The 16,018-nt window shown below is 36.9% G+C and overlaps 1 annotated feature.

Annotated features, from left to right (window-relative positions):
- Positions 8,882–9,582: an enhancer, noted in NCBI's record as "NANOG hESC enhancer chr5:46362710-46363410 (GRCh37/hg19 assembly coordinates)". NCBI's record gives its function as "activates a minimal SCP1, AML or CMV promoter by ChIP-STARR-seq in primed H9 embryonic stem cells {active_cell/tissue: H9 hESC(primed)}" and the evidence as "EXISTENCE:reporter gene assay evidence [ECO:0000049][PMID:30033119]".

Raw genomic sequence — 16,018 nt, forward strand, 5'->3', positions numbered from 1 at the left:
GATTCTACAAAAAGAGTGTTTAGAAACTGCTCTATCAACAAAAAGTTCAAATATGTGAGTTGAATGCATACATAACAAAGTAGTTTCTGAGAATGCTTCTGTCAGTTTTTATGAGAATATAATCCCCTTTCCAACGAAGACCACAAAACATTCAAAATATCCATTTTCAGATTGTACAAAAAGAGTGTTTCAAAACTGCCCTATCAAAAGAAAGGTTCAACTCTGTGAGCTGAATGCACACATCACAAAATAGTTTCTGAGAAGTCTTCTGTCTAGTTTTTATGTGAAGATACTTCCTTTTCCACCATAGGCCTCAAAGTGCTCCAAATGTCCACTTGCAGAATCTACATAAAGAGTGTTTCAAAACTGCTCTATCAAAAGTAATGTTCAACTCTGTGAGATGAATGCGCACATCACAAACAAGTTTCTAAGAATGCTTCTGTCTAGTGTTTATGTGAAGATATTTCCATTTCTACCATAGGCCTCAAAGCTCTCCAAATGTCCACTTGCAGATTCTACAAAAAGAGTGTTTCAAAGCTGCTCTATCAAAAGGAAGGTTCAACTCTGTGAGTTGACTGCACACAACACAAAGTAGTTTCTGATAATGTTTCTGTCTAGATTTTATATGAACATATTTCCTTTTCTACCGTAGGACTCAAAGCGCACAAAATGTCCACTTGCACATCCTACACAAAGAGTGTTTCAAAACTACTCTAATAAAAGGAAGGGTCACCTCTGAGTTGAATGCACACATCACAAAGGAGTGTCTGAGAATGCTTCTGTCTAGTTTTTAAGTGAAGATATTCCCGTTTCCAATGAAGACCTCAAATCGGTCCAAATATCCACTTGCAGATTCTAAAAAAAGAGTGTTTCAAAACTGTCCTATCAAAAGAAAGGTTCAACTCTTTGAGTTTAAAGCACACATCACAAAGAAGTTTCTGAGAATGCTTCTCTCTAGTTTTTGTGTGAAGATATTTGCTCTCCTACCATAGCCCTAAAAGCGCTCAAAATGTCCACTTGCAGATTCTACAAATAGAGTGTTTCAAAACTGCTCTATGAAACCGAAGGTTCAACTCTGCGAGTTGAATGCACACATCACAAAGAAGTTTCTGAGAATGCTTCTGTCTAGTTTTTATGTGAAGATATTTCCATTTCCCATGAAGGCCTCAAACCGGTCCGAATATCCACTTGCAGATTCTAAAAATAGAGTGTTTCAAAACTGCTCTGTCAACAGAAAGTTTTAACTCTGTGTGTTGAATTCAAACATCACAAAGAAGTTTCTGAGAATGTTTCTGTCTAGTTTTTATGTGAAGATATTCCCGTTTCCAACAAAGGCTTCAAACCGGTCTACATATCCACTTGCAGATGCTACAAAAAGAGTGTTTCAAACCTGCTCTATGAAAAGTTGTGTTCCACTCTGAATTGAATGCAAACATCACAAAGAAGTTTCTGTTAATGCTTCTGTCTAGTTTTTATGTGGGGATATTTCCTTTTCCACCACAGCCCCCAATCACTGCAAATGTCCACTTGCTGATTCTACAAAAAGAGTGTTTCAAAACTGCTCTATCAAGAGGAAGGTTCATCTCTGTGAGTTGAATGCACACATCACAAAGAAGTTTCTGAGAATGCTTCTATCTGGTTTTTATGTGAAGATATTCCCATTTCCAAAGAAGGATTCAAAGCGGTACAAATATCCACTTGCAGATTCTACAAAAATAGTGTTTCAGTGCTGCTCTATTAAAAGGAAGGCTCAAATCTGTGAGTTGAATGCATACATCCCAAAGGAGTTTCTGAGAATGCTTCTGCTAGTTTGTATGTGAAGATATTCCCTTTTCGACAAGAGCCCACAAAGCGCTCTAAATATCCACTTGCAAATTCTACAAAAACAGTGTTTCAAAACTGCTCCATCAAAACGAATGTTCAACTGTATGAGTTGAATGCACACATCCCAAAGAAGTTTCCGAGAATGCTTCCGTCTAGTTTTTATGTGAAGATATTTCCTTTTCCCCAATAGAACGCAAAGCGCTCCAAATGTCCAGCTGCAGATCCTGCAGAAAGAGTGTTTCCAAACTGCTCTGTCAAAAGGAAGGTTCAACTCAATGAGTTGAATGCACACATCACAAAGATGTTTCTGATAATGCTTCTGTCTAGTTTTTATGTGACGGTATTTCTTTTTCCACAATAGAACTCAAAGTGCTCCAAATGTCCACTAGCAGGTTCCACAAAAAGAGAGCTTCAAAACTGCTCTATCGAAAGGAAAGTTCAACAATGTGAGTTGAATGCACACATCACAAAGAAGTTTCTGAGAATGCTTCTGTCAAGTTTTTATGTGAAGATATTCTAGTTTCCAACAAAGTCCTGAAATCGTTCCAAATATTCACTTGCAGATTCTATCGAAAGAGTGTTTCAAACTCCGTGAGCTGAATGCACACATCACAGATATGTTTCTGAGAATGCTTCTGTCTAGATTTTATGTGATGATATTTCCATTTCGAACATAGCCCTGAAAGCGCTACAAATGTCCACTTGCAGAATCCACAAAAAAGTGTTTCAAAACTGCACTATCGAAAGGAATGTTCAACTATGTGAGTTGAATGCACACATCACAAAGAAGTTTCTGAGAATGCTTCTGTCTAATTTTCAGGTGAAGATATTTCTTTATACACCATAGCCCTCAAAGATATCCAAATGTCCAATTGCAGATTCTACAAAAAGAGTGTTTGAAAACTGCTCTATCAAAGGGAGGGTTCTACTCTGTGACTTGAGTACACACAACACAAAGTAGTTTCTGAGAATTCTTCTGTCTAGTTTTTATGTGAAGATATTTCCTCTTCCATGATACTCCTCAAAGCGCTCCAAATGTCCGCTTACAGAATCTACAGAAAGAGTGTTTCAAAACTGCTCTATCAAAAGGAAGGTTCAACTCGGCGAGTTGAATGCACCCATCACAAAGAAGTTTCTGAGAATTCTTCTGTCTAGCTTTTATGTGAAGATATTTCCTTTTCTTCCATAGGCCTGAAAACACTCCAAACGTCCGCTTGCAGATTCCACAAAAAGAGTGTTTCAAAGCTGCTCTATCAAAAGGAAGGTTCAGCTCAGTGAATTGAATGAACACATCACAAAGAAGTTTCTGAGAATGCTTCTTTCTAGTTTTTACATGAAGATATTCCTTTTCCAATGAAGGCCTCAATCCCATCCCAATATCCACTTGCATATACTAAAAAAAGTGTGTTTCAAAACTGCTCTATCAAAAGCAAGGTTGAAATCTGTGAGTTGAATGCACACATCACAAAGAAGTTTCTGAGAATTCTTCTGTCTAGTTTTTATGTGAAGATATTACCGTTTCTAACGAAGGCCTCAAGCTGGTACAAAGGTCCACTTGCAGATTCTTATAAAAAGAGTGTTTCAAAACTGCTCCATCAAAGGAAAGGTTCACCTCGCTGAGTTGAATGCACTCATCACAAAGAAGTTTCTTAGAATGTTTCTGTCTAGTTTTAATGTGAAGATATTTCCTTTTCCATGGTAGTCCTCAAAGTGCTCCAAATGTCCGCTTACAGAAACTACAGAAAGAGTGTTTCAAAACTGCTCTATCAATCAGAAGGAAGGTTCAACTCTGTGAGTTGAATGCTCCCATCACAAAGAAGTTTCTGAGAATTCTTCTATCTAGTTTTTATGTGAAGGTATTTCCTTTTCTACCCTAGGCCTGAAAGCACTCCAATTGTCTGCTTGCAGATTCCACAAGAAGAGTGTTTCAAAGCTGATCTATCAAAAAGAAGGTTCAGCTCTGTGAGTTGAATGGACACATCACAAAGAAGTTTCTTAGAATGCTTCTGTCTAGTTTTAATGTGAAGATATTTCCTTTTCCATGATACTCCTCAAAGCGCTCCAAATGTCTGCTTACAGAATCTACAGAAAGAGTGTTTCAAAACTGCTCTATCAAAAGGAAGCTTCAAATCAGCGGGTTGAATGCAACCATCACAAAGAAGTTTCTGAGAATTCTTCTGTCTAGTTTTTATGTGAAGGTATTTCCTTTTCTAACATAGGCCTGAAAGCTCTCCAAATGTCCGCTTGCAGATTCCACAAAAAGAGTGTTTCAAAGCTGCTCTATAAAAAGGAAGTTTCAGCTCTGTAAGTTGAATGGACACACCACAAAGAAGCTTCTGAGAATGCTTCTGTCTAATTTTTATGTGAAGATATTCCCTTTTCCAACAAAGGTCTCAATCCGATCGAATATCCACTTGTATATACTAAAAAAACAGTGTTTCAAAACTGCTCTATCAAAAGAAAAGTTCAAGTCTGTGAGTTGAATGCACACATCACAAAGTAGTTTCTAAGAATGTTTCTGTCTAGTTTTTATATGAAGACATTTCTTTTTCTATGATAGGCCTCAAAGCACTCCAAATGTCCACTTGCAGATTCTACACAAAGAGAGTTTCAAAACTGTTCTATCAAAAGGAGTGTTCAGCTCTGTAAGTTGAACGCACACATCTCAAAGAAGTTTCTGAGAGTGCTTCTGTCTAGTTTTTATGTGAAGATATTCCCGTTTCCAAAGAAGACCTCAAACCGGTACACCTATCTACTTGCAGATTCCATAAAAAAGAGTGTTTCAAAACTGCTCTATCGAAAGCAAGCTTCAAATCTGTGAGTTGAATGCACACATCACAAAGAACTTTCTGAGAATGCTTCTGTCTAGTTTTTATGTGAAGATATTCCTCTTTCCAATGAAGGCCTCGAACCGGTCCAAATATCCATTTGCAGATTCTTAAAACAAGAGTGTTTCAAAACTGCTCTATCAAAAGGAGTGTTCAACTCTGTGAGTTGAATGCAAATATCACAAAGAAGTTTCTGAGAATGCTTCTGTATAGTTTCAATGTGAAGCTATTTCCTTTTCCATGATAGCCCTAAAGGGCTCCAAATGTCCGCTTGCAGATTCTACAAAAAGAGTGTTTCCAAACAGCTTTATCAAAAGGAAGGTTCAACACTGTGAGTTGAATGCACACACCACAAAGAAGTTTCTGAGAATGCTTCTGTCTAGTTTTAATGCGAAGGTATTTCCTTTTCTACAATACCCCTCAAAGCACTCCAAATGTCCACTTGCAGATTCCACAAAAAGAGTGTTTCAAAAGTGCTCTATCAAAAGGAAGGTTCAGCTCTGTGAGTTGAATGCACACATCACAAAGACGTTTCTGAGAATGCTTCTGTCTAGTTTTAATGTGAACATATTTCCTTTGCCATCATAACCCTCAAAGTACTCCAAATGTCCACTTGCAGTTTCTACACAAAGAGTGTTACAAAACTGCTGTATCAAAAGGAAGCTTCAACTCTGTGAATTGAATGCAAGCATCACAAAGAAGTATCTGAGAATGCTTCTGTCTAGTTTTTATGAGAATATTATCCCGTTTCCAATGAAGGCCACAGAGCATTCCAAATATCCACCTGCAGATTCTACATAGCGTGTTTCAAAACTGCTCTACCAAATGGAAGTTTCAACTCTGTGACTTGAATGCACACATCACAAAGAAGTTTCTGAAAATGCTTCTGTCTAGTGTTTATGTGTATATGTTCCCATTTCCAATGAAGGCCTCAATCCGGTCAAAATATGCACTTGCAGATATTAAAAAAAGAGTGTTTCAAAATTATTCTATCAAAAGAAAGGTTCAAATCTCTGAGTTGAATGCACACATCACAAATAACTTTCTGAGAATGCTTCTGTCTAGTTTTTCTATGAAGATATTCCCTTTCCCACCATCGCCCTCAAAATGCTCCAAATGTCCTCTTGCAGATTCTGCAGATAGAGTGTTTCAAAACTGCTCTATAAAAAGGAAGGTTCAACTCTTTGAGTTGAATGCACACATCACAAGGAAGTTTCTGATAATGCTTCTATCTAGTTTTTATCTGAAGATATTTCCTTTTCCAACATTGCCCACAAAGTGCTCCAAATGTCCACATGCAGATTCTGCAAAAGAGTGTTTCAAAACTGCTCTATCAAAATGAAGTTTCAACTCTGCGAGTTGAATGCACACATTGCAAAGAAGTTTCTAAGAATGTTTCCATCATGTTTTTATGAGATGATATTCTCATTTCCAACGAAGGTCACAGAGCAGGCCATATATCCATTTGCAGATTGTTCAAAAAGAGTGTTTCAAAACTGTTCTATGAAAAGAAAGGTTCACCTCTGTGAGTTGAATGCACACATCCCAAAGAAGATTCTGAGAATGCTTCTGTCTAGTTTTCAACTGAAGATATTTCCTTCTCCAGCATAGCACTCAACGCGCCCCAACTGTCTACTTGCAGTTTATACAAAAAGAGTGTTTCAAAAGTGCCCTATCAAAAGGAAGGTTCAACTCTGTGAGTTGAGTGCACATACCACAAAGAAGTTTCTGAGAATGCTTCTGTCTAGTTTTTATGTGAAGATATTTCCTTTTCCACCGTAGGTTTCAAAGCTCTCCAAATGTCCACTTGCAGATTCTACAAAAAGAGTGTTTCAAATCTGCTCTATCAAAAGAAAGGTTCAACTCTGTGAGTGGAATGCACACAACACAAAGTTGTTTCGGGAAAAGCTTCTGTCTAGTTTTTATATGAAGATATTTCCTTTTCTACCATAGGCCCCAAAGCACTCCAAATGTCCGCTTGCAGATTCTACACAAAGAGAGTTTCAAAACTGCTCTTTCAAAAGGAAGGTTCAGCTCTGTGAGTTGTATGCACACATCTCAAAGAAGTTTCTGAGAATGCTTCTGTCTAGTTTTTATGTGAAGATATTCCCGTTTCCAATGAAGACCTCAAACCGGTACTGATATTCACTTGCAGATTCCATAAAAAGAGTGTTTCAAAACTACTCTATCAAAAGCAAGCTTCAAGTCTGTGAGTTGAATGCACACATCACAAAGAACTTTCTGAGAATGCTTCTGTCTAGTTTTTATGTGAAGATATTTCCTTTCACACCATAACCCTCAAAGCACTACAAATGTCAAATTGCATATTCCACACAAAGAGAGTTTCAAAACTGCTCTATCAAAAGGAAGGTTCAAATCTGTGAGTTGAATGCAAACATCAGAAAGAAGTTTCTGAGAATGCTCTGTCTAGTTTTTGTGAGAATATAATCCCATTTCCAATGAAGGCCACAAAGCAGTCCAAATATCCCAAAAAGAGTGTTTCAAAACTGCTCTCCAGAAAGGAATGAAAACATCACAAAGAAGTTTCTGAGAATACTTCTGTCTAGTTTTTATGTGAAGATATTCCCGTTTCCAAAGAAGGCCTCAAAGCAGTCCATATATCCACTTGCAAATTCCACAAAAAGAATGTTTCAAAACTGCTCTATCAAAAGAAAGGTTCAAGTCTGTGAACTGAATGCACACATCACAAAGAAGTTTCTGAGTATGCTTTTATCTAGTTTTTATATGAAGATATTTCCTTTTCCACCATAACCCTCAAAGCACTCCAATGTGAACTAACATATTCTACACAAAGAGTGTTCCATAACTGCTCTGTCAAAAGGAAGGTTCAACCCTGTGAATTGAATGCGTACATCACCAAGTGGTTTCTGAGAATACTTCTATCTAGTTTTTATGAGAAGTTAATCCCGTTTCCAGCGAACGCCACAAAGCAGTCCAAATATCCGCTTGCAGATTCTGCAAAAGGAGTGGTTCAGAACTTCTCTATCAAAAAGAAGATTCAACTCTGTGAGTTTAATGCAAACATCAAAAAGAAGTTACTGAGAATGCTTCTGTCTAGTTATGACAACATATACCCGTTTCCAATGAAGGCCAAAAAGCAGTCCAAATATCCACTTGCAGATTCTACAAAAAGAGTGTTACAAACCTGCTCTATCAAAAGGAAGGTTCAACTCTGTCAGTTGAATGCAAACATCACAATGAAGTTTCTGAGAATACTGCTTTCTAGTTTTAATGTGAAGATATTCCCGTTTCCAACAAAGGCCTCAAACCAGTTTAAATATCTACTTGCAGATTCGACAAAAAGAGTGTTTCAAAACTTCTCTATGAAAAGGAATGTTCAACTCTGCTTTGAATGCAAACATCACAAAGAAGTTCCTGAGAATGCATCAGTCTAGTTTTTATATGAAGATATTTCCTTTTCCACCATAGACCTCAAAGCTCTCCAAGTGTCCACTTGCAGATTCTACAAAAGTGTTTTTCAAAGTTACTCTATCAAAAGAAAGGTTCAACTCTGTGAGTAGAATGCACACAACACAAAGTAGTTTCTGAGAATGCTTCTGTCTAGTTTTCATCGGAAGATATTTCCTTTTCTACCATAGGCGTCGACGCATTTTAAATGTCCACTTGCAGATTCTACACAAAGTGTACTTCAAAACTGCTCTATAAAAAGAAAGGTTCATCTCTGTGAGTTGAATGCACACCTCAAAAAGAAGTTTCTGAGGATGCTTCTGTCTAGATTTTTTCATAAGATATTCCCGATTCCAACGAAGGCCTAAAACCAGTCCAAATATCCACTTGCAGATTCTAAAAAAAGAGTGTTTCAAAACTGCTCTATCGTAAGAAAGGTTCAACTCTATGAGGTGAATGCACACATCAGAAAGAAGTTTCTGAGAATGCTTCTGTCTAGTTTCTATGTGAAGATAATTCCTTTTCCACCATCACCCTCAGAGCACTCCGAATGTCCACTTGCAGATTCTGCAAATAGAGTGTTTCAAAACTGCTCTATCAAAAGGAAGTTTCAACTCTGTGAGTTGAATGCACACATCACAAAGAAGTTTCTGAGAAAGCTTCTGTCAAGTTTTTATGAGAAGCTATTACCGTTTCCAATGAAGGCCACAAAGCAGTCCAAATATCCACTTGCAGATTCTAAAAAACCAGTGTTTAAAAACTGCTGTATGAAAAGGTATGTTCAAATCTGAGAGTTGAATGCACACATCACAACAAAGTTTCTGAGAATGCTTCTGTCAAATTTTTATGAGGCAATATTCCCGTTTCCAATGAAAGTCACAATGCAGTCGAAATATCCACTTGCAGATTCTACAAAAAGAGTGTTTCAAAACTGTTGTAAGAAAAGGTATGTTCAACTCTGTGAGTTGAATGCAAACAACTCAAAGAAGTTTCTGAGAATGCTTCTGTCTAGTTTTTATGTGAAGATTTTTCCTTTTCCATCTTGGCCTCAAATAGCTCCAAATATCCACTTGCAGATTCTACAAAAAGAGTGTTTCCAAACTGTTCTGTCAAAAGAAATGTTCAACTCTGTGGCTTGAATGCACACATCACACAGAAGTTTCTGAGAATGCTTCTGTATGGTTTTTATGTGAAGATATTTCCTTTTCCACCATAGCCCTCAAAACGCTCCAAATGTCCACTTGCTGATTCTTCAAAAAAAGTGTTTCATAACTTCCCTATAAAAAGGAAGTTTCAACTCTGTCAGTTGAATGCACACATCACAAAGAAGTTTCTGAGAATGCTTCTGTCTAATTTTTATGTGAAGATATTTCCTTTTCCACTGTAGACCTCAAAGCGCTCCAAATGTACACTTGCAGATTCTGCAAATAGAGTGTTTCAAAACTGCTCTATCAAAGGAAAGGTTCAAATCTGTGAGTTGAGTGCACATATCACAAAGAAGTTTCTGAGAATGCTTCTATCTAGTTTTTATGTGACGGTATCCTCGTTTCCATTGAAGGCCACCAGGCCCTCCAAATATCCACTTGCAGATTCTACGAAAAGAGCGTCTCAAAACTGCTGTGTTAAAAGGTATGTTCAAATCTGTGAGTTGAATGCACACATCACAGCGAAGTTTCTGAGAATGCTTCTGTCAAATTTTTATGAGACAATGTTCCCATTTTCCAATGAAGGCCACAAAGCTGTCAAAATATCCACTTGCAGTTTCTACAAAAAGAGGGTTTTGAAACTGCTGTACCAAAAGGAAGGTTCAACTCTACAAGTTGAATGCACACATCACAAAGAAGTTTCTGAGAAAGCTTCTGTCTAGTTTTTATTTGAATATATTTCCTTTTCCACTTTGGCATCAAAGCTCTCCAAATATCCACTTGCAGATTCTACAAAAAGGAATGTTTCAAAGCTGCTCTATCAAAGGAAAGTTTCAACTCTGTGAGTTGAATGCACATATCACAAATAAGTTTCTAAGAATGCTTCTTTCTAGTTTTTATGTGAGGATATTTCCTTTTCCACCTTGGCCTCAAAGCTTTCCAAATGTCCATTTGCAGATACTACAAAAAGACTGTTTCAAAACTTTTGATAAAGCTATCAAAAGGAAGTTTCAACTCTGTGAGTTAAATGCAAACATCACAAAGTAGTTTCTGAGAATGCTTCTGTCTAGTTTTTATTGGAAGATTTTTCCATTTCCAATGAAGGCCTCAAACCGGTCCAAATAGCCACTTGCAGATTCCACAAAAAGAGTGTTTCAAAACAGCACTGTCAAAAGCAAGGTTCAACTCAGTGAGTTGAATGCACACATCACAAAGTAGTTTCTGATAATGCTTTGGTCAAATTTTTAAGAGAAGATATTCCCATTTCCAAAGAAGGCCACAACGCATTCCAAATATCCACATGCAGATTCTACAAAAAAAGTGTGTCAAAACTGCTCTAACAAAAGGAAGGCTCAACTCTGTGAGTTGAATGCAAATATCACAAAGAATTTCTGAGAATGCATTTGTCTAGTTTTTATGTGAAGATATTTCCTTTTCCACCATAGCCCTCAAAGTGCTCCAAATGTCCACTTGCAGATTCTACAAAAAGAGTTTCAAAACTGCTGTATCAAAAGTAAAGTTCATCTCTGTTAGTTGAATGCACGCATCACAAAGAAGTTTGTGAGAATGCTTCTCTCTACTTTTTATACGAAGATATTCCCATTTCCAACGAAGGTCTCAAAGCGGTCCAAATATCCTCTTGCAGATTCTACAAAAAGAGTGTTTCAAAACTGCTCTATGAAAAGGTATGCTCAACTCTGTGAGTTGAATGCAAATATCACAAAGAAGTTTCTGAGAATGCTTCTATCTATTGTTTATGTGAAGATATTCCCTTTTCCAAAGAAGTCCTCAAACCGGTCCCAATATCCACTTGCAGATTCTTAAAAAAGAGTGTTTCAAAACTGTTCTATCAAAAGGAAGGATCAACTCTGTGAGCTGAATGCATGCATCACAAAGAAGTTTCTGAGAATGCTTCTATTTTTTTATTTTAAGATATTTCCTTTTCCACCATAGCCCTCACAGTGTTCCAAATGTCCTCTTACAGATTCTACAAAAAGATTGTTTCCAACCTGCTGTATAAAAAGGAAGATTCAACTCTTTGAGTTGAATGCACACATCACAAAGCAGTTTCTGAGAATGCTTCTGTCTAGTTTTTATCTGAAGATATTTCCGTTTCCAACGAAGGCCTCAAAGCAGTCTAAATATCCACTTGCAGATTCTATAAAACCACTGTTTCAAACTTCTGTATCAAAAGGTATGTTTAAATCTGTCAATTGAATTCAATCATCACAAAGAAGTTTCTGAGAATGCTTCTTTCTAGTTTTTATGTGAAGATATATCCTTTTCCACCATAGGCCTCAAAGCTCTCCAAATGTCCACTTGCAGATTCTACAAAAAGACTGCTTCAAACTGGTCTATCAAAAGAAAGTTTCAACTCCTTGAGTTGAATGCGGAAAACACAAGTTAGTTTCTGAGAATGCTTCTGTCTAGTTTTTATATGCAGATATTTCCTTTTCTATCATAGCCTCTTAGCACTCCAAATGTCCACTTACATGTTATACAGAAAGAGGGTTTCAAACTTCTCTATCAAAAGAAAGGTTCAACTCTGTGAGTTGAATGCACGCAACACAAAGAAGTTTCTGAGAATGTTTCTGTCTATTTTTTATGTGAAGATATTCCCGTTTCCAATGAAGGCCTTAAATTGGTCCAAATATCCACTTGCAGATTCTAGAAAATGAGTGTTTCAAAACTGCTCTATCAAAAGAAAGTTTCAATGCTGTGAGTTGAATCCACATATCCCAAAGAAGTTTCTGATTATCCTTCTGTCTAATTTTTACGTGAAGAGATTTCCTTTTACACCATTGCCCTCAAAGTGCTCAAAATGTCCACTCTCAGATTGTACAAGAAGAGTACACTTTTCATAGGGCAGTTTTGAAACACTCTTTCTGTAGGAACAGCAAGTGGATATTTGGAGCGATTTGACATCTTCTTTGGAAAGGGAATATCTTCACATAAAAACTAGAGAGAAGCATTCTTAGAAACTTCATTGTGATGTTAGCATTCATCCCACAGGGATCAACATACCTTTTCAGAGAGCAGTTTTGTAACACTCTTTTCGTGAAATTTGCAAGTGGATATTTGGACCGTTTTGAGGCCTTCGTTGGAAACGTGATTATCTTCACATAAAAATCAGACAGAAGCATTCTAAGAAAGCTTTTTGTGATGTTTGCATTCAACTCAGAGAGTTTAACAAACTATTTCATAGAGCAGTTTTGAAACACTCTTTTTATAGAATCTTCAAGTGGATACTTGGACCACTTTGAGGCCTTCGTTGGAAACGTGACTATCTTCACATAAGTACTAGACAGAAGCATTCTCAGAAACTTCTTTCTGATGTGTTCATTCAACTCACAAAGTTGCACCTTCCTTTTGATAGAGCCATTTTGAAACACTCTTTTTTAGAATCTGCAAATGGATATTTGGAGCGCTTTGAGGCCTATGGTAGAAGACGAAATAACTTCATATAGAAACTAGACAGAAGCATTCTCAGAAACCTCTTTGTGATATGTGCATTCAACTCTCAGAGTTTAACCTTTATTTTGATAGAGCAGTTTTGAAACTCTCTTTTTGTAGAATCTGCAAGTGGATATTTAGACTGCTTTGAGGTCTTCGTTGGAAACGGGAATGTCTTCACATGTAAACTAGAAGGAAGCATTCTCAGAAACTTCTTTCTCATCTGTGCATTCAACTCAAAGATTTGAACCTTCCTTCTGATAGAGCAGTTTCAAAACACTCTTTTTGTAGAATCTGCAAGTGGACATTTGGATCTCTTTGAGGGCTATGGTGGAAAAAGAAATGTCTTTACATAAAAACCAGACGGAAGCATTCTATGAAACTTCTTTGTGATGTGTTCATTCAACTGACAGATTTCAACCTTCCTTTTGATAGAGCACTTTTGAAACACACTTTTTTTAGAATCTGCAAGTGGATAATTGCACCGCTTGTAGGACTTCGTTGCAAACGGGAATATCTTCATATAAAAAGTAGACAGAAGCATTCTCAGAAAATTGTTTGCCATGTTTGCATTCAACTCACAGTGCTGAACCTTCCTTTTGAAAGAGCAGTTTTGAAATACTCTTTTTGTAGAATGTGCAAGTGGATATTTGGACCGCTATAAGGCCTTTGTTGGAAACGGGAATATCTTCACATGAAACTAGACAGAAGCATTCTCAGAAATATCATTGTGATGTGTGCATTTAGCTTACAGGGTTGAACCTTTCTTTTGATACAGAAGTTTTGAAACACTCTTTTTGTAGGATCTGGAAGTGGACATTTAGAGCTCTTTGAGGACTATGGTGGAAAAGGAAATATCTTCATATAGAAACCAGACAGAAACATTCTCAGAAATTTCTTTGTGATGTTTGCACTCAACTCACAGATTTGAACACACATTTTGTAGAGCAGTTTTGAAACTGTGTTTTTGTAGAATCTGTAAGTGGATATTTGGACTGCTTTGAGGCCTTCGTTAGAAACGGGTATATCTTCACATAAAAACTAGACAGAAGCATTCTCAGAAACTTCTTTGTGATGTGTGCATTCAAGTCACAGAATTGAACCATTGTTTCGATAGGGAAGTTTTGTAACACTCTTATTGTTGAATCTACACAGGGACGTTTTGAGCTCTTCGAGGTCTTCTGTGGGAAAGGAAGTATCTTCACATAAAAACTAGAAAGAAGCATTCTCAGAAACTTCTTTGTGATGTGTGCATTCAACTCAGCGATTTGAACCTTCCTTTTTATAGAGCAGTTTTGAAACACTCTTTTTGTAGGATCTGCAAGTGGATATTTGGAGTGCTTTGAGCTCTGTCATGGAAAAGAAAATATGTTCACAAAAAAACTAGACAGAATCTTTCTCAGAAACTTCTTTGTGATATGTGCATTCAACTCACAGAATTGAATCTTCGTTTTTGTAGAGCAGTTTTGAAACACACTTTTTTTACAATCTGAAAGTGGACATTTGGAGCTCTTTGAGGGCTCTGGTGGAATAGGAAATACCTTCACATAAAAACCAGAATGAAGCATTCTCAGAAACTTCTTTGTGATTTGTGCTTTCAACTGACAGTGTTGAACATCCCTTTGGATACAGCAGTTTTGAATCACTCGTTTTGTAGTATCTGCAAGTAGATATTTGGACCGTTTTGAGGACATCGTTGGAAATGGGAATATCTTTATATAAAAACTAGACAGAAGCATTCTCAGAAACTTAGTTGTCATGTTTGCATTCAACTCACAGAGTTGAATCTTTCTTTTGATAGAGCAGTTTAGAAATACTCCTTCTGTAGAATCTGCAAGTTGATATTTGGAGCACTTTGAGGCCTATGGTAGAAAAGGAAGTATCTTCATATAAAAACCAGACAGATCATTCTCAGAAACTCCTTTAAGATGTGAGCATTCAACTCACAGACTTTTACCTTTATTTTGATAGAGCAGTTTTGAAAAGTTCTTTTGTAGAATCTGCAAGTGGATATTTAGACTGCTTTGAGGCCTTCATTGGAAACGGGAATATCTTCACATATAAACTAGAGAGAAGCATTCTCAGAAACTTCTTCCTGATTTGTGCATTCAACTCAGAGAGTTGAACCTTCCTTTTGATAGAGAAGTTTTGAAACACTCTTTTTGTAGAATCTGTAGAATCTGCAAGTAGACATTTGGAGCGCTTTGAGGCCTATGGTAGAAAAGGAAATATCTTCATATAAAAATTAGAAGCATTCTCAGAAACTTCTTTCTGATGTGTGCATTCAACTCACAGATTTGAACCTTCCTTTTTGTAGAGCACTTTCAAAACACACTTTTTTTAGGATCTGCAAGTGGATAATTGCACCGCTTTGAGGACTTCCTTGGAAAAGGGAATATCTTTATATAAAAACTACACAGAAGCATTCTCAGAAAATTCTTTGTCATGTTTGCATTCAACTCAGAGAGTAGAAACTTCCTTTTGAAAGAGCAGTTTTGAATCACTCTTTTTGTAGAATGTGCAAGTGGATATTTGGACTGCTTTAAGGCCTTCATTGGAAACGGGAATATCTTCACATATAAACTAGACAGAAGCATTCTCAGAAACTTCTTTCTGATTTGTGCATTCAACTCACAGAGTTGAACCTTCCTTTTGATAGAGAAGTTTTGAAACACTCTTTTTGTAGAATCTGCAAGTGGATATTTGGAGCGCTTTGAGGCGTATGGTAGAAAAGGAAGTATCTTCATATAAAAACTAGACAGAATCATTTGAGACGTGAGCATTCAAATCACAGAGTTTAACCTTTATTTTGATAGAGCAGTTTTGAAACGACTATTTACAGAATCTGCAAGTGGATATTTAGACTGCTTTGAGGCCTTCGTTGGAAACGGGAATATCATCGCATATAAACTAAACAGAAGCATTCTCAGAAACTTCTTTCTGATTTGTGCATTCAGCTCAGAGAGTTGAACCTTCCTTTTGATAGAGAAGTTTTGAAACACTCTTTTTGTAGAATCTGCAAGTGGATATTTGGAGCGCTTTGAGGCCTATGGTAGAAAAAGAAATATCTTCATATAAAAACTAGACAGAAGCATTCTCAGAAACTTCTTTGTGATGTGTGCATTCAACTCACAGATTTGAACCTTCCTTTTTATAGAGCACTTTCGAAACACGCTTTTTTTAGGATCTGCAGGTGGATAATTTCACCGCTTTGAAGCCTTCATTGGAAACAGGAATATCTTCATATAAAAACTAGACAGAAGTGTTCTCAGAAAATTCTTTGTCATGTTTTCATTCAAGTCACAGAGTTGAACTTTCCTTTTGAAAGAGCAGTTTTGA

This window comes from Homo sapiens, chromosome 5, assembly GCF_000001405.40.
Source record: "Homo sapiens chromosome 5, GRCh38.p14 Primary Assembly".
NCBI classification, from domain to species: domain Eukaryota; kingdom Metazoa; phylum Chordata; class Mammalia; order Primates; family Hominidae; genus Homo; species Homo sapiens.